This window comes from Homo sapiens, chromosome 1, assembly GCF_000001405.40.
Source record: "Homo sapiens chromosome 1, GRCh38.p14 Primary Assembly".
In the NCBI taxonomy this organism is placed as follows: domain Eukaryota; kingdom Metazoa; phylum Chordata; class Mammalia; order Primates; family Hominidae; genus Homo; species Homo sapiens.
In genome coordinates, this window is record NC_000001.11 from 206,878,179 (window position 1) to 206,896,639 (window position 18,461).

General features: G+C 41.7%; 1 long non-coding RNA gene across 2 annotated transcripts, besides 1 other annotated feature; it reads right to left on the bottom strand.

Annotated features, from left to right (window-relative positions):
• Positions 1–7,130: 7,130 nt before the first annotated feature.
• On the bottom strand, positions 7,131–17,940 carry LOC105372879 (uncharacterized). Of its 2 annotated transcripts, none has more exons than XR_007066836.1 (2): positions 17,816–17,940; positions 7,131–7,524 (listed from the first exon to the last, which is right to left on the bottom strand). It is a non-coding gene; the product is annotated as an uncharacterized LOC105372879 (long non-coding RNA). The 2 variants fall into 2 exon arrangements; XR_007066835.1 differs by having other exon boundaries at positions 7,131–13,507.
• Positions 11,926–13,125: an enhancer, noted in NCBI's record as "BRD4-independent group 4 enhancer chr1:207063449-207064648 (GRCh37/hg19 assembly coordinates)". NCBI's record gives its function as "activates an origin of replication core promoter dependent on BRD2, P300/CBP, MED14 and CDK7 cofactors, and independent of BRD4, by STARR-seq in HCT116 cells {active_cell/tissue: HCT116}" and the evidence as "EXISTENCE:reporter gene assay evidence [ECO:0000049][PMID:35650434]".

The window sequence follows — 18,461 nt, forward strand, 5'->3', positions numbered from 1 at the left end:
CTGAAACTACCTGTGCAAAACTAAACTTAGCAATATGGTTAGAATTATAGTTCAGGAGTCATGTAGCCAGAGGTCACAAAATTTGTAACCTCCCCAATTTCTCCTATAGATAGCATCACTATTGTCAACCTAAGATTGGTATTTGAGGTATTTTCCAGACCCTGCATTTTGATGGACCAGCTGATGGTCCACCTGAACCAGTAACCCATACCAAGAAACTTGCCCATTTGGTGTTGTGACCCCCACCCAGAAACTGACTCAGCATAAGAAGACAGCTTTGATCCCCTATGATTTCATCCCTGACCCAACCAATCAGCATTCTCCATTCCCTAGATCCCTGCCTTCCAAATATCCTTGAAAAGCCCTAGCCTCTGAGTTTTTGAGGAGGCTGATTTGAGTAAGAATTACTCCCATCCATTTGCTCAGCTACCTAGCCCTGTGATTATTAAACTCTTTCTCTGCTGTAATATCACTGTCTTGGTGGATTGGCTTTATCTGTGCAGTAGACAAGAAGAACCCACCTGGTGGTAACAGCAGAAATGGCAATTCATAAATAGGCTAGTTATACCAGGGACAGAAAACCAGCTTTAAATCATCTCAGTCTATGATTAGATCAAGGTAATATGGGATTACTAATCCCCTAGCTTCCTTCCAGAAGCAAATGTAAATCCATCTCAGAGGAAGACAATATTATTCCAAGTTTAACATTATTTTTTATAATTTTTCATATGCAATATCTGGAGCTCAAAGACAAATAACAACAAATGAGGAGACAAAATAATGTGATATAAAATAATGGAAAAAATAATGTTAGTTTTCAAAGAAAAATAATAAAAAGACAATAGAAATAGATATACAGGGAGTGCAGATAATAGAGTTATCAGATATAGGCTTTATAGTAACTATGAAAAATACATGCAAGGAAATAAAAAGCAAGACCATTTCAACAGAGAACTGGGAACTATAAAGAAACTTATTTGAAATTCTAGAACAGTACAGATAATACAAATTTAGAGTTCAATGGATGAAACTTGACAGAGATTAGATATAGATAAAGGCAGAAAATATCCAGAAAAAAATAGAGAGGCAAAGAAATGGAAAATATAGAAAATCATACAAAACATAGAGAACACAGTGAAGAAGTCTGTATACATGTAATTGAATTCCCTGAAAAAGAGGCAAGAGAAACTGTGGGGCAGAAACAATATTCCTAGAGATAATAACTGGGAATTTTAAAAAGCTGATAAAACATATAAGACCACAGATTTTAAAAACTCCACAACCCCAGGCAATCAAAATACAAAGAAAACACATCTAAGCACATTATAGTAAAATTGCTGAAAATTGAAGACAAAAGTATAACTTCAGAAACAATCAGAAGAAAAGAAAAACTACTTTCAAATGACTAAGATTAGCAACTGTCTTCTCAACAAAAACAGTGAAAGCCATAAAATAAGGAAACGATATCTTTGAATTGCTGGGAGGAAAAAACAACTATAAAGAAAAACAAGTACTGTCAACCAAAAGTTCTATAACCAGAGGAGAAATGCTTCGTAAATGATGGTGAATACATATATAATATACTCTATCAAAATCTCAACTGGCATTTTTTTTTTGCAGAAATTAACGAATTGATCTGTCTTAGTCAGAGTTCTCCAGAGAAACAGAACAAATAGTATATATGGATTATAGAAGCTGAGATGTCTTGAGATCTGCAGCTGGAAAGCTGGAGACCCAGGAAAGCCAACAGCATAGTTCTAGTTTCAGTATAAAGGCCTGATAATCAGGTGGGCCAATTTTATAAGTTCCAGTCTGAGTACAAGTCTGAAGGCAGGAGAAAACCGATGCCTAAGCTTGAAGAGAGTCAGGCAGAGAGAGTGAATTCTCCATTGCTCAGGGTTGTTTTGTTGTTTTTGTTTTTGTTTTGGAGACAGAGTCTCACTCTATCACCCAGGGTGGAGTGCAGTGGTGCAATCACAGCTCACTGCAGCTTCGACCTCCTGGGGGCTGAGGTGATTCTCCCACCTCAGCCTTCTTGGTAGCTGGGACTACAGGTTCACATCACCACACTTGGCTAATTTTTTATATTTATTTTAGAGATGAGGCTTCACCATGTTGCCCAGACTGGTCTTGAACTCCTGAGTGCAAGTGATCCTCCCACCTCGGCCTCCCAGATTGCAGGGATTACAAGTATAAGCCACTGTGCCCAGCCTCAGAGCTTTTATTCTATTCAGGCCTTCAGCAAGTCGGATGAGGCCCACCTACATTGGGGAGGAAAATCTGCTTTACTCAGTCTACTGATTCAAATGTTAACCTCATCCAGAAACACCATTATAGACATACCCAGAATAATGTTTAACCACATTTCTGCATATCCTGTGACCCAGTCAGGTTGACACATAAAATTAACATCACATGATCTTAAATTCATATGAAATTAAGGGAACCCAGAAGAGCCAAAATAATCTTGAAAAAGATAAACAACGTTGGAAGACTCACATTTCCCAGTTTCAAACTTATTACAAAGCTATGGTAATTAAGACAGGCTCATACTGGTAAAAGACTAGACATGCAGATCAATGAAATAGTGTTGAGAGCCCAGAAATAAATCCTTACATTTATGGTCACTTGATTTTTCAACAAGGGTGACATTACTATTCAATGGGGAAAATAATAGTCTTTCCAACAAATGGTGTTGGGACAATTGGATATCCATAAGTAAAAGAATGATGCTGGACCCCTATTCACAACATATACAAAAATTGACTCAAAATGGCTGGGCCTGGTGGCTCATTCCTGTAATCTTAGCACTTTGGGAAGCTGAGGCAGGCAGATTGCTTGAGCCCAGGAGTTTGAGACCAGCCTTGGCAATATGGTGAAACTCCATCTCTACAAAAAATATAAAATATTAGCTGGGTGTGGCAGCGTGTGCCAGTAGTCTCACTACCCAGGAGGCTGAAGTGGAAGGATCAACTGAGCCTGGGAGAGTGAGGCTGCAGTGAGCTGTGATCGTGCCACTGCACTCCAGGCTGGGTGACAGAGTGAGACCCTATCTCAAAAAAAAAAAAAAAAAAAAAAAAAGCCGAAGTATAAAATTTATATAAGAAAGCAGTAATTATTTATGACCTTGGATTAAGCAAAGCTTTCTTAGATATGACACTAAGAGCAGAAGCAACATGAGAAAAAAAAGATAAATTGGAGTTCATGAAAATTTTAAACTGTATGCTTTAAAGGACACCATTGGCCGGGCATGGTGGCTCACGCCTGTGATCCCAACTCTTTAGAAGGCTGAGGCAGACAGATCACCTGAGGTCAGGAGTTCAAGACCAGCTTGGCTAACGTGGTGAAACCCCATCTCCACTTTTTAGTTGAATTTTTAATACAAAAATTAGCCAGGCATGGTGGCCTATGCCTGTAATCCCAGCTACTTGAGAGGCTGAGGCAGGAGAATTGCTTGAACTCGGGAGGTGGAGATTGCAGTGAGCCAAAATCATGTCACTGTGCTCCAGCCTGGGTGACAGAGTGACTCCATCTCACACACATAAAAAAAGGACACTATCAAGAAAGTAAAAGACAATTGACAGAATGAAAGAACATATTTGCAAATTATATTAGATGAGGAACTGACATAGTTTGGATATTTGTCCCCTCCCAAATCTCGTGTTGAATTGTAATACCCAATGCTGGAAGTGGGGCCTGGTGGGAGGTGTTTGGATTATGGGAGCAATCTCTTATGGCTTGGTGCTGTGTTCATGACAGTGAGTGAGTTCTTGCGAGATCTGGTTGTTTATAAGTGTGTGACACCTCCCCATCAGCTCTCTATCTCTTGCTCCTGCTTTTGCCAAGTGAAGTGCCTGCTCCTGTTTCACCTGCTGTGAGTAAAAGCTTCCTGAGGCCTCCCGAGAAGCCAAGCAGATGTCAGCACCATACTTGTACAGCCTGCAGAACCGTGAGCCAATTAAACCTGTTTTCTTGATAAATTATCCAGGCTCTGGTATTTCTTTTTTTCTTTGAGATGGAGTCTCGCTCTGTCGCCCAGGCTGGAGTGCAGTGATGGGATCTCGGCTCACTGCAAGCTCCACCTCCTGGGTTCACGCCATTCTCCTGCCTCAGCCTCCTGAGTAGCTGGGACTACAGGTGTCCGCCACCATGCCCGGCTAATTTTTTTGTATTTTTAGTAGAGACGGGGTTTCATGGGTTAGCCAGGATGGTCTCGATCTCCTGACCTCGTGATCTGCCCACCTCAGCCTCCCAAAGTGCTGGGATTACAGGCTTGAGCCACCGCGCCCGGCCTCTGGTATTTCTTAATAGCAGCACAAGAATAGCCTAATACAGGAACTTAGCCTACAGAAAATGTAAAGAACATTTAAAACTCAATGATAAAAAGACAATCCAGATTGAATAGACGTCTCACCAAACAAACAAAAAGATGTATGAATGGCCAATAAGCACATGAAAAGATGCTCAACATCATTAGTCATTAAGGAGAGTCAAATCAAACCTACAATGCAGTAACACTACACATCCACTAGGACGGCTCAAATATAAAAACATAGCCAACAATAAGTGTTAATGAGGATGTGGGGAAGTTGGAACCCCCATACGTTGCTTTATAATCCCATTGCTAGTGGGATTGTAAAATGGTGCAGAAACTTTAGAAAACAGTCTGGCAGTTTCTCAAAATGTGAAACATGGAGTTACCATATGACTTAGCAATTGCACACCCAGGTACCCAGGTATTGAAAGAGAGTTGAAGAGATGCCCACACAAAAACATGGACACAAAAGTTCATAGCAGTATTATTCATGATGGTCAAAAAGTGGAAACAATGCAAAATCCTTTAATTGATGAATGTATAATGAAATGTGGTACATACAATAGAATTATTCAGTAATAAAAAGGAAAGAAGAACTGATACATGCTACAACGTGGATGCACTTTGAAAATATTAAGCTAAGTGAAAGAAGCCAGTCACAAAAGCTACATAGTGTATGATTCCATTTATATGAAATGCTTATAATATGATTCCATTTATATGAAACATTCAGAACAGGCAAATCTATAGGGACAAAAAGTGAACCAGACTTCCAGCGAAGGAATGGGAAGAGTCAGGAATGACTGCTAATGTGTATAAGGCTTCTTTCTGGATGATGAAAATGTTCTGAAATTAGTGATGCTGGTTGCACAACTCTGTGAAACTACTAAAAACTGCTGAATTGTATACTTTGAAAGGATGCATTTTATGGGTATGTGAATTATGGCTCAATAAAGCTATTATTAAAAAACAAAGATGAAATAAAAACATTTTCAGGTCATCAAACATTAGGGGAAAGTAGAAATAGTTATTTAATTCACAATGATTTTAGAACAAAATGATTTGGCTTGTTAGAAGATGATTGCATTCACATCTACTTTCATTACTATTGTTAATCAAAAAAGAGCTTGCTCATTGAATTTGGTCCTGAAGTTTTCATGTCATATTCTCTTATGACTTGTTTTGGTATTAGATTCCTGTTATCATTTTAAAGCAACTTTACAGTCTCCTGAAACAGACTGGTAAGAACTGGGATTAATCACAGTATATTTTGTTGTTTCTATCTGGGTTACTATTATGAACACTTTATCAGGTAGTTGTCTTTTAAAAATCATATAGTTAAAGGGTGAAAAGTTGCTTGCAGTTGTCTAGCCTCTCTGATCTAAGCTCTTTTTGTTAGGGAAAGGCATTGAATGTGGCACAGGAATATATAAAAATAAAATTAGCAATTGTTAATAATAGCTAATTTTTATTTTTTTCTTAAGTATTAAAAAAATAGAGATGTGGTCTCTCTATGTTGCCCAGGCTGGTGTCAAACTCTTAAGCTGAAGGGATCTTCCCACCTTGGTCTGCCCAAAGTGCAGGTGTTAGCCACCGCTCCCAGCAACTAATAGCTTACTCTTTCTAGTGCTTACTAATGTGTCCAGCTCTCTTCTCTGTGCTTTGCCTGTATTTTCTCATTTCACTCTCATAAATACTTATGAAGCAGGTGATATTGTTATTTCCACTTCACAGATGAGGAAACCGAATCAAAGAAGAATCAAGTAACTTATTCAATTATTTTAATAATCATTCAAAGTCACATAGCTAGTAAGTTGCAGAGCCAGGAATACAAACACACCGTGTGACTCCATAGTCTGCATGTTTTCCAGAACACTGTACTGCCTCCCAAGTATTTAAACTTGGAGTCAGAGACCTGGGATGAATTCTAGGTAGTTCCATTTTCTGGTTCTATGAGCTTAGGCAAACCACCAAATTTCCCTTTGCCTTGGTTTTATAATCATAATACAGAAATAATGATATCTGCTCTGTCTTATAGGGTTTTTGTGGGTATCAAATTGTAGAAGTACTTTGTAAAGCATTACACGACCAACTGGCTCACTGGACTGGAGTTGAAACTCCCCTGCTCCCTCCCTCCAAGAAACCCAGCCAGTAGAGCTAGCTCCCCTTCCCCTAGAAGTATTCATTTGCCTCCATTGAATTACAGTGGGGCTGAAGAACTTTCTGGGGAAAAGGCTTGAACTCTGTTCACACTTGGGATTCAACACTCATAGACATGGCTGATAGATCAGAGCATACAGAATCCAGATTACAGGGGGTTAATGGCAACCCCTACCCCTTAAAGAGGATTCACCTTGAGAAAGAAAGGAGTGTGACATGTGAGCTGTGCTCAGTAACAGGAACCAATGTCACTGATATTGATGAATTCCAGTCCCATGTTACGAGAAACTCCTCCAAACCAACCACTGTGGAGGTATGTGGGCATCCTGGGGCCAAGCAGGTCTCAGAGTGTACATTGAGAAAGCTGCTTCACTGAACTCTGCAACACTTTGGACTCAATCTCCCTATTGGGGTGAATGTGACCTTGCAAAATTTTTTGGCAGGAGCAATTTAGCACTGAGAAGCTGCTGAGGAGAACCCTCTTCTCACCACCAGTGGGGTCACACATGGAGCTTGCAATAGCTAGCTCAGCCAGCCCTGAAAGCACAGACTGCCTCATGGGCTTGGAAGAAACATCCCTTTGAGAATTCTCAAAACACTCTAGGGACAGACTCCCCAAGAGCCTGCTATGTTTATATGAGCAGATGGAACGACAGAATTTCAAGATTTTTTATTTCTAATTTTTAATCACAGGCTGTGGAAATATGAACATTCAGGTTATGCTATTCCAAATTACTTTTATTATTTTATTGTGGGAAAACAGAATTCAGTTAACTAGGATTAAGCAACAAAATCCACTTCCTTGTGGGATCATCTCTCTGGGCTAGGAAGAGGGATGGAGACTTTTCAAGGCAGAGATTGCTCCATGGAGGAAAACACCTTCTCTTCATTTTCATGAGTAATAAGTTTCCCAAGAGGATATTTTTTGGAAGTTGAAGGCAGAATTTAAATGGAAAGCCCCACCCACTGTTGCTGGAAGCAACTTCTCTTCATCCTTTCTTTGACTTTTGATGCTTCCCTGGATCTGATTATTTAGCGGTGGGCAAAGGCTGGAGATAAGAAGCCAAAAGATAAGATTTCAGTGTAAGAATTCACGTCATTTTCATTTCAAGTACCATATATGAGCTTTTTCAGGGACACAAACTCTAGTTGCTCTTATTCTGGGGCAAGCTCGGACCTGCCAGGCCTTAGCCTGCCTTTCTTTGCCAGTTTTAAAATCCATGTAGTAAGTGTGTGTGCTGTAAGTCTTTGTGTGTATGAGTGTGTGTGTGTGTCTGTGTGGCTGTTGGCTCATCCTAAACTTTTTACTGGCATCTTAGGCTTCTGCAAGTAGAAGATTCTCTACATTAGGAGTCCCCAACTCCTGGCCCACAGACCAGTATCCATCTGTGGCCTGTTAGAAACCAGGCTGTGGCCGGGTGCAGTGGCTCATGCCTGCAATCCCAGCACTTTGGGAGGCTGAGGCGGGTGGATCACGAGGTCAGGAGATCGAGACCATCCTGGCTACCATGGTGAAACCCCGTCTCTACTAAAAACACAAAAAAGTTAGCCGGGCATGGTGGCGGGTGACTGTAGTCCCAGCTACTCGGGAGGCTGAAGCAGGAGAATGGCCTGAACCTGGGAGGCAGAGCTTGCAGTGAGCTGAGATTGCGCCACTGCACTCCAGCCTGGGCAACGGAGTGAGATTCCTACAATTAAAAAAAAAAAAAAAGAGAGAGAGAAAGAAAGGAAGGAAGGAAGGAAGAAACAAAGAAAGAAAGAAACCAGGCTGCACAAAAGGTGAGTGGTGGGTGAGTGAGCGGAGCTTCATCTGTATTTACAGCCACTCCCCATCCCTTGCATTCCCACCTGTGCTCTGCCTTCTATCATATCAGTGGCAGCATTAGCTTCTCATAGGAGCACAAATCCTATTGTGAACTGTGCATGCGAGGGATCTAGGTTGCATGCTCCTTATGAGAATCTAATGCCTGGTGATCTGTCACTGCCTCCCATCACCCCCAGATGAGGCTGTCTAGTTGCAGAAAAACAAGCTCAGGACTTCTAGTGATTCTATATTATGGTGAGTTGTATAATTATTTCACTGTATATGACAATGTAGTAATAATAATAAAAATAAAGTGCACAATAAATGTAATGTGCTTGAATCATCCTGAAACCTAATCCCCCAACTCCTGTTTGTGGAAAAATTGTCTTCCATGAAACTGGTCCTTGGAGCCAAAAAGGTTGCAGACTGCTGCTCTACATCACCCCTACCAGGAGCGAAAAGCCCTTTTCTGCAGGTCAGCTTTCAGTCTTCCATCCATCATCCCTTACAGAGCTTTCTTCTCATTATGTGACCCCTAAGTGAACTGAGCAGCCCATTGCTAAATCCCAAAGTGGTCAGCATCATGCTATAACCTGACCTCACCCAGTTGAATGCATCATTAACTCCATGTTCAAGGAGAAAGCAATGCTTTCCATTAAAGAAGGAATTTGAGAATCTCTGTGACTTATAATGAGTTGACTAACTAGCATATAGAATCAAAGTTTACCTATAGCAGAGTCTAAATTCATTGAGCTTTCTGGAGCTTTATCTATAGCAGTCTAAATTCATTTGTTCCTAGCAAAGTCTAAATTCATTCTAAACACTTTTAAAGTGTTTAGAATCCTTCTCCCTTCTAACATCCCTTCTGCATTAGTCAGGTTAGCCTAAGTTATGCTGTAGAAGCAAACAACTCCTTAATGTCTCTCAGCAGCATATTACAACAAAAGTTATTTCTCACTTATTTTATATATGGAATAGATGTTAGCATGGGGACTCTCCTCATCATGGGTACTCAGGGACAGGCTGCAGGAAATGCTATCATCCTGTAATAATGCTGCCATCTCAACATGGCAGGGGATGAGAGAGTGTGGACGATTGTGTGCTGGCTCTTAAATGCTTCCTTCAAGCATGACATGTGTTTCTTTCACTTATATTTCACTGGTCTAAACAGCCACATGGCCACGTCTAACTTCAATGGAACAGTGAAGTGCAATTTTCCTGTGTTCCAAGAAGTGGAAGACTATAAATGTGAGCGAACAACTGTAATGTCTATCATACCTTTAAGTGGATATCCAGCCTTGAATACCTTCAGGTTTAAAAGTCTTTATTCTTGCGGTGATATTAACCTGCCAAATGCAGATTTCAAGTCATCCTGAACACTTCTGACAGCAAGTATCTTACTCACGATTTGTTTGTTTATTTAACAAGCTGCTACACTGTGCTGAGCAGTGTGAGCAAAAGAGAAGAACATAAGATCTGTTCCTTTGCGGTCCCATGATCTTAGCCCAGGAGAGAAAGAGAGAGAAGACTAAGTGCCACCAAAGAAGTTCAAATTGCTACATTGTTTAGAGGTGACAGAAATTCCTTGCAGCTTTTGGGAATGGCTTCAAGGAATTGGCCTTGAAGTACTGCTAAAAAATTTTTAATGTAAGTCTCAACCTCTCTTTCTAAATTGGTGTTTGTAGAATTCTTTTATTCTTTGTTTTGCAAATACAAAATAGCTTAAAGATGAAAATAAAAGCCTGCCAAGCCTGTAATCTTATTCCTTCAAAATAAGCATTCTTAAAAAGGTGTGTGTGTGTATTACACATATGTACACACACATGCTTGTATATGCATATATGTATATGTATACATACATATACATGTAATCTGCTTTTGACAGTCAGCAACATATGCCATGTTTCTATGTTGAAGCAATAAAGGGTGGCTAGTGTTTGGCTGGTGGCAAGAACATTTCAGATCCAGCCTAACAGAGGCATAGAGGCACGAGGTGAAGATGAAACGCTCAGTTTTGCTGGTACCATGGTGTGTGGAAGTGTAGAAGAGAGAAAGCTGGGAAGGTGAATGGATTGGGTCTCAGAGAATGTGCAGTGCCAGGTAGGGGAATTTCAACAATTTTCAGTGGGCAATAGTGAAACTAAAGATTTATTTAAATTTACAACAACTTTTCTAAAAGCCTTGCATTTTGTATAACTTGGAGACTACAGTTAAGCTATAGAGAAGGAAAACTCCCATGATCTCACCACTCAAAGATAATCTTGTTAACATCTCAGCATTTATATTTCTAGCTCATTTTCAACACTTTTGCCCATTTTATCTTTTACAAAAGTGGGATCCTACTGCATATGTCATCTGTAACCTGATTTTTTTAAATCTAAAATTTTATAAAAGTTTTTTTAAGAATGTAAATATAAATTATTTTGAGTGGTGGAATAGCATTCTATTACATGGACTTTTACCCATAGAAATAACCAATTAAAGATCACACAAAAGGAAAAAGCAATTGAATTATCCTCCTCCTTAAATACATTTCATTTACCTGGTTTTGAAATTAAAAATTGATTCATGAACATTTAATGAACATTAATTTCATGAACATATACATTCTATAAACCCCTCCCACCCACCCAGCATACTGGTTTGCAAAAGTAGAACAAAAGAGCAATGGGTTGTGGGGAGAGGAGGGAGGAACTTTCCTTATCAGAAACCAAAAATGATTTGGTGGCTGAGGAATAATATGATCAGACTTGTGCATTTAGAAGAATCTCCTAGATGAGGGACAGGGATTTTAAAGGGGAATGAAACTGGAAGAGAGTCTATAAGATAGACGGGATAGGGATCATTTTCCTTCTTGGACAGAATGAGGCACGTGGCACAGAGAAAGTAAGTGGCTTGTTCAAGGTAGCAGGATATGGCTGCTCTAAGGATAAGACTATGATATCCTCATCCACAGATCCAGAACTCTCTCCTGTGCTGGCCTAATCGCAGATTCTGTTTCCCTGGCTTTCTATGTCCAGACAGGTGGTCATAGCATCACTTTTTGGGTTTTTACTCTTACGCTGGGAACACGTGCAAAGCAGATCAGTATTTAATAATGCCATTGGATGCAGGCCACATCTCAGCCTGTGGCCATTGCCTGAGCAAAAATGAGAAATATTTGGCAAAGATCTTTGGGCAAATAGCCTGGGAGACAATTTGACCTTGTACATAATTAGATTTGTGAACCAGTCTAATTACATAGTAGTAATTATACGACTAGACTCACACCAGTACTTTCCACCACCAAATGTGTGAGATTTTTTCTCACACTAACCAATTCTTCATTCTCGGTGGACACCAAATGGATGGCTACAACTCAATTAAAGTCCGACACTATTTACCAGGGGATAGCATCAGATCCCACGGGTTAAGGGTTCAATCTCACAAGACTGCTCCCATTTCAGACAGCAATGACAAGTCCCAGTTATCACCTGTGCTTCTGACCGAACAGCCATAAATCGGAGGTTCCCATGACACCGTCTTCTGGTTTGATCATACGCTAAAATGGCTCACAGAAACCAGGAAAATAATTTACTTATCAGATTACCATTTATTATGAAAGGATACAACTCACGAACAGCTAGATGGAAGAGATGCATTGGGCAAGGTATGTGGAAAGGGGCACAGAGCCTCCTTGCACTCTCTGGGGCACCCCCCTCCCAGTACCTGCATGTGTTCACCAACCCAGAAGCTCTCCAAACCTCTTCCTTTAGGGTTTTTGTGGAGGTTTCATTACAGAGGCATGACTGATTAAATCATGAGGCATTGATCATTGACTCAGCCTTCACTCTCCCTCCTCTTCCTGGAGGTGGGATGGGGTGGGGTGGGGTGGAGTGAGTAGGGCTGAAAGCTCCAACCCTCTTATCTCATGGTTGATTCCCTGGCAAACAGCTCCCATCCCTAGGCTATCCAGGAACCCCCAGCTGTCAGTCACGCGTTAGCATAAAAAAGACACTATCATTGGTGAGATTCCAAGGGTTTTAAAAGCTGCCAAGAAAGGGAGAGGGTTATGTCACACCAGTCAAATAAAATTCACTATTTCAACAAATGCTTACTAAGCTCCTGTCCTGTGCCAGCTTCTGAGGGGAATTCTGACATGGATAATACTCAGTTCTAGTGCCCAGGGAGTTCACAGCCTGGTGAAGGAGACACAACCAGGGTGCAGGGAAGGATCGCCTGGGTGCCATCAAAGGGGGACTAGCAGCACTCCTAGGAGCACAGGAGAGGGGAGATTAACACTGTCCAGAAATCCGAAAATCTCTTTGTAGGTGTGGAGAGTGGACCTGGATAGGAGGAAAGGGAGGGTGCTATTTTAGGAGTACAGTAGTCTCCCTTTATCTGTGGTTTCACTTCCTGTGATTTCAGTTACTGACGTCAACAGTGGTTTGAAAATATTTATTACATGGAAAATTCCGGAAATAAACAATTCATAAGTTTAAATCGCGTGCTACTCTGAGCAGCGTGATAAAGTCTCGTGCCATCCCGCTCCGTCCTGCCTGGAACGTCAGTCCTCCCTTTGTCCAGCGCATCCGACTGTCACAATACAACAGTGCTCATGTTCAAGTCACCCTTATTTCACTTAGTAACAGCCCCACAGCACAAGAGTAGTGACGCTGGCATATTGTTATAATTGTTCTATTTCACTATTTGTTATTCTTGTTAATCTCTTTGTGTTTAAACTTCATCACAGATATGTATGTATAGGAAAAGAAAAGACATCGGATACATGGGGTTTGGTACTATTTGCAGTTTTAGGCATCTACTGGGCATGATCCACTGATCAATGGTCTTGGAACGTGTCTGCCATGGATAAGGGGAGTCTACTGTATTGATTCTGATTAATGCCTGAGAATGGGATGTTATTTCATTCACACGGAAGCCTTTTTCCTTTCTTCCATTCTTTCTTCCTTTTTAAAAAAATCTCCTTCAGAAAAAAAAGCAACCCTGGATATATGAGACAGGGGGCAGGGTGACACAGGGGAAATAAACCACAGTCCTTTACCTGGATCTACTCAGAAGACTCTGTAGCTACTATTTCCCCAACATGTACCATGCCATGTATTTATTTGAATACTCATGTCCTTGTGACTCAAAGTTGATGTTCTACAGGTCGTGGGAGGTCCAGGATCCTGACTCTTGGGAGGCAGTTGCAGTTCAGAACTGGCTTTCTCTTGTGGTTCTTTTTCCTGCAATTGTACAGGAGGCTTGGCTTAGAAAGTGAGACCCTGGCCCTTCTTCTCTCCCCCCCATTCCTGTCTGCAGCCCTGTGGGATCAGTAGCACCCTAGGTCCCCTTGGGAGCCCTGAAGTTGTATTTACATAGCTTGTTCCCATTGATTTGCATGAATTATTACACGAAAGAACAATCAGTGGTCCTCTTTCTTCTAGCGGCTTCCAGAACCACCTGCTCTTTGGTCCTGTCCAGTAACTATGTGGATGCCGAATGTGGAGGCTACCAGGGTCTCCATCAATCACCTCTCCCGGCTTTATTTTTGCTGGTGAATTCCTAGTCAGGCTTCAAATTTCAGATCGAATGTCACTTCCAATGGAAAGCCTTCCCGCATCTTCCAGCACTGTGCCAGCACTGAGGGAGATTCTGCCTCATCTTGCTGTTGCCACAGGCTCCATCCTTCTGCTAATAGCACCTGTCTTAGTTTGCTTTTGGTTTCTTATAACAGAATACCTGAAATTCGGTAATTTATAAAGAAAAGGAATTTATTTCTTATAGTTATGGAGGCTGGGAAGTCCAAGGTCAAGAAGCCACATCTGGTGAGGGCTCTCTTGTTGGTGGAGACTCTGCAGAGTCCCGAGGTGGCACAGAGCATCATATGGAAAGGGGGCTGAGTATGATAGCTCAGCTTTGTCTTCTTCTTGTTTTAAAGCCACCAGTTCCATTCCCATGATAACCCGTGAATCCATGAATAGATGAGTCAATCTGTAAGGGCAGAACCCTCAAGACCCATTCGCCTTTTAAAGGTCCCACCTCTCAATACTGCCACACTGAGGATTAAGTTTCAACATGAGTTTTGGAGGGAATGTTCAAACCATAGTGGTACCCATGACACAGTGTTGCCATTTATCTGTTTGCAAGTGTATCTCCACTCTACTGAGTCATTAAAGCACAAGGACTGTGTCTTAATTTATTTTAAAATAGCTTTTTAAATATATAATTTACATACCATAGGTTATCTGTTTAAAGTGCACAGTTCAATTTTTTTTTTAAATATAGACACAGAGTTGTGCAACCATCACCGTATCTAATTTCAAAACATTCTGTTACTCTCCAAAGAAACATTGTATTCCTTAGTAGTCACTCCTTTCCTCCCACCCACCCTATTCTTAACTCTCAGCCCTGGGCAACCATTCATCTATATTCTGTGTCTATAAATTTGCCTTTTCTGGACATTTGACATAAATGTTTTCATAGTAATTTATTTTTTGTACACTCTATTCTGCCATTCAGTAGGTGCTTAGGAAATGTTTGTTCGATGAATGAATGAATGTACTAAAGATTGAGAAACTGCTTGGAAGCATGGCACCGGGGAAAGAACACTGGACCAAAAGCCAGAAGACCTGCACTCTAGGCCTGGTTATGTCATTTATTTATGTGACTTAGAGAAAATCACTTGACCTTTCTGACTCTCAGCTTTCTAGTCTGTAAAGGAGGGATAATAATATCTGCCCTCCTTATTTCAAAAGTCCACAGTAAGTGTCAGATGAAAAAAATCACTTGGAAATATTTTGTATAGCTCTAAGCAGGCTGTACAGATGTAAGAATAATTTATGTTTGTGTTTACTCTCATCCCTTGAAATGCCTATAAAAATAAATCACTTATTACACGAATGACACAGGGAGAAGGAAGAACGACAGAATGCCAGTCTAAGGAGATCAACCAGTGGGATATGGGCTCCTGGAATGACTGCAGTTAACTCAGGGAAAAGAGCTAACAAATGCCCTGGTTATCCCATATCCATTACCACATGCATTTCCCAGCCAAATGGGAAGATAAAAATCTGTTCTCGAGTGAAAATTAAACTCAATTCACTGGAAGAAAAATGATCATATAATTTCCTCTTATCTTTTTGCTCTTAGGAAATTCTAGTTAATATGCTAATTACTTTCTGTTTTGCAGGGCCTTTGCATCCATCGCAAAGAGGGGAGATTCAGGTTTAAGAGTGAGCTCTTTATTGCCTCACACAGAAGTGGAAGTGGAGAAGGAACTCTGGTCCATGGTGGCTCAGTCTCTTTCTCTCCCTTTAGGTTTAGAGGACTTTGTAGGGGGAATGTGAGTATATTTATTTCTCAAATGTGAAATTCAGGCTCTGCAGAGAGATATACAGGACAGAGATAGGATAAGATTATTAGAATAAAACCTCTGAATCTAATAAGGAGTAGTTTGGAGGAAAAAAAAACAGTCTTGTATGTGAAGATTTATCTTTAGATAAACTTTTCTTCCACCCAACATTTGTAAAACTCCCCAAGTTCCATCCTTTCGTAGAGGTTAGCAGAGCCTCAGACCTTGGTCTGATCCAGGAGAGTTTGGATAAAAATATATGAATCTGGACAAAAGGGCCAGCCCCACTTCCTTCAACCTCTTAAAGTCTGAGACTTGGGGCTTTCCCAGAGGTGGGCCAGTGAGCCAGGTCTCCCCACTGTTTCCACCTGGCCTTTGGGCACTGCCTTCCAACTTGTCACCTTGTTTTTCCCATTCCCCTGATCATCTGATCAGCCTACTGCCTCCTTTCCCAATAAGGTCATGTTCTTCTCTTCCTCTGCTCCTATTCCAGCTATTTCCCCCATAGCCACTGCTTCCTTCTAATCCAGGGTTTCTTACCCTCAGCACTATTGACCTTAGGTCATATAGTTCTTTGTGATGAGGGGCTGTCCTGTGGCCCATAGGATGTTTAGCAGCATTCCCAGCCCATTCCACTAGATACCAATAGCACCTCCCAGTTATGACAACCAAAAATATCTCCAGACATTGCCCAGTACAGATGGGCATGAAGTATGAAGTATGAAGTATGAAGTATGAAGTCACCTTATTTAGATCCCCTAAACCAGTCCTTCCTCCCTTCATCTGGAGCTCTTGTTTATTAAACATTTACCATGGAGAAGACACTGAATTAAATCTTTCATGCGTTTTATGCTGATGGTTCTCAAAATTTAATGAACATAAGCATCACCTTGGAAGGTTCTTAAACTACATATTCTAATTCAGTCATTTTTTCGGGGAAGGGCTTGAGATTCTACTTTACTTTTATTTATTTTTTTCGAGACAGGGTCTTGCTCTGTCACCCAGGGTGTAATGCAGTGGCAAGATCATGGCTCACTGCAGCCTTGACCTCCCAGGCTCAAATGATCCTCCTGCCTCAGCTTCCCGAGTAGCTGGGACCACAGGCATGTGCCATCACAACGAACTAATTTTTATTTATTTTTGCAGACAGGGTCTTGCCATGTTGCCTAGGAGGACCTCAAACTCCTGGGCTCAAGCAATCCTCCCACCTTGGCCTCCCAAAGTGCTGGGATTACAGACGTGAGCCACTGTACCCAGCCCAAGATTGTACATTTCTAACAAGGTCCCAGATAATGCTATCACTGCTGGCTCATGGGCCACACTTGGTGAGCAAAGCTGCAGGTCATCACATCCTCATGGTCTTATGAGGACTCTATTTCACAAGTGAGGAAGGTGAGCCTCAGAGGGCTCATATGTGGCTCGATCACCTTTTGAACCCAGGTCTGCCTGCCTCCAAAGCTTGTACTCATAACTAGATTCTCAACTGATGTTGGGCCAAGGTTCCTAGGTTCTCTCCTTGACCTTCCTTCTGAAGTAATAATGCTATGATAAGCTCATCGGAGGCTGAGGCCCAGGCACATGTTTGCCTGAACTATCCATGTTATATGATTCCTTCCTCAGACAGAGTGAGCTACTCACGATCCCAGGTGTACCCTGAGGCCAGCCAAGGTGTATCCATGACCTCATGCCTCTGTTCCAGCCTGCCCTTTAACAGCTCATCCCACCTGCCTGCCCTCCCCGCCTATCTGCAGACAGTAGTCTAGGATTTCAGCTGCCCTGGGGGCTCATTTTCCCTCTCAGCTTCCTGCTTTAGCTGTCTCCTGCCTCCCACTCACCTATTACTCCAGCACTCTCACCTGGTCTTCTTTTCTGTCTCATCACTGCCTCTTGACATCTTTATCTCATAGTAGTTAGTTAGGGGTTCTTGGTAATGCCCTAAATCCACATGGTGGGAAGGGGGGAGTGGGGGAAGAGAGTGCGCTGTGGGGCTGTGCCTACTTCTGGAGGGTAAGACTCGGGCCCTCCAGGAACAAAGGATTCAGGCTGGTGGCAGCTATAGCCAAGCAGACTGCTGGCCAGGGATTGCAAAGGAGTATTTTGTTTGCTTAAGAAAATAAACAACACTGAGTATGAGATGGAGGGAGGGGGTGTTGGTGCCAGAGAGATTGGGAAGAGTCTGCCAAGGGTGTGTTCTACTCACTCTCCTCTTTTCTTTCATCTCCACTGAGCTGGAGGCAGTTATCCTGTCCCCCACGTCACATTCCTACTCCCGTTTCCCATGCCTGGACCCAGGTTGGGCAAACTCTTCCTGTAAAGAACCAGACAGGAACTATTTTAGGCTCTGTGTGCCATATGGTCTCAGTCACAACTACTCATCTCTGCCTCTGTAGCACGAAAGCAATTAGCAACAATATGTCAACAAACATATGTGACCCCATGAAAACTTTATTTATTATGGATACGGAAACCTGAAAATAATGTCTTTCTTTTGATTTTTTCCCCAATCATTAAAAAACGTAAAAACTACTCTTAGGTCGCAAGGTTAAGCCATTCTCAGCTTAGCAGTGGCAGGCTGGATTTGGCTTGTGACCTACAGTTGGCCAATCCCTGATTCCCAAAATGTATTCCTCAGGGATGTGGGCAAATACTTATGGGAAATGCTGGATTAAACAGAGTTAAGAAGCATCAGACATTTCCAGGACGGGCTAGCACATGCCAGGGCTCTCTAACTGACCTCATTAGGATTCATCTGTTTCATGGAGGATCTTGCAAGACAAGAATTCCTCAAACCTAGAGTCTGAGGACTGTGCTTTGGGAAACACTGCTCTGCTTGATGCCCTCACTGG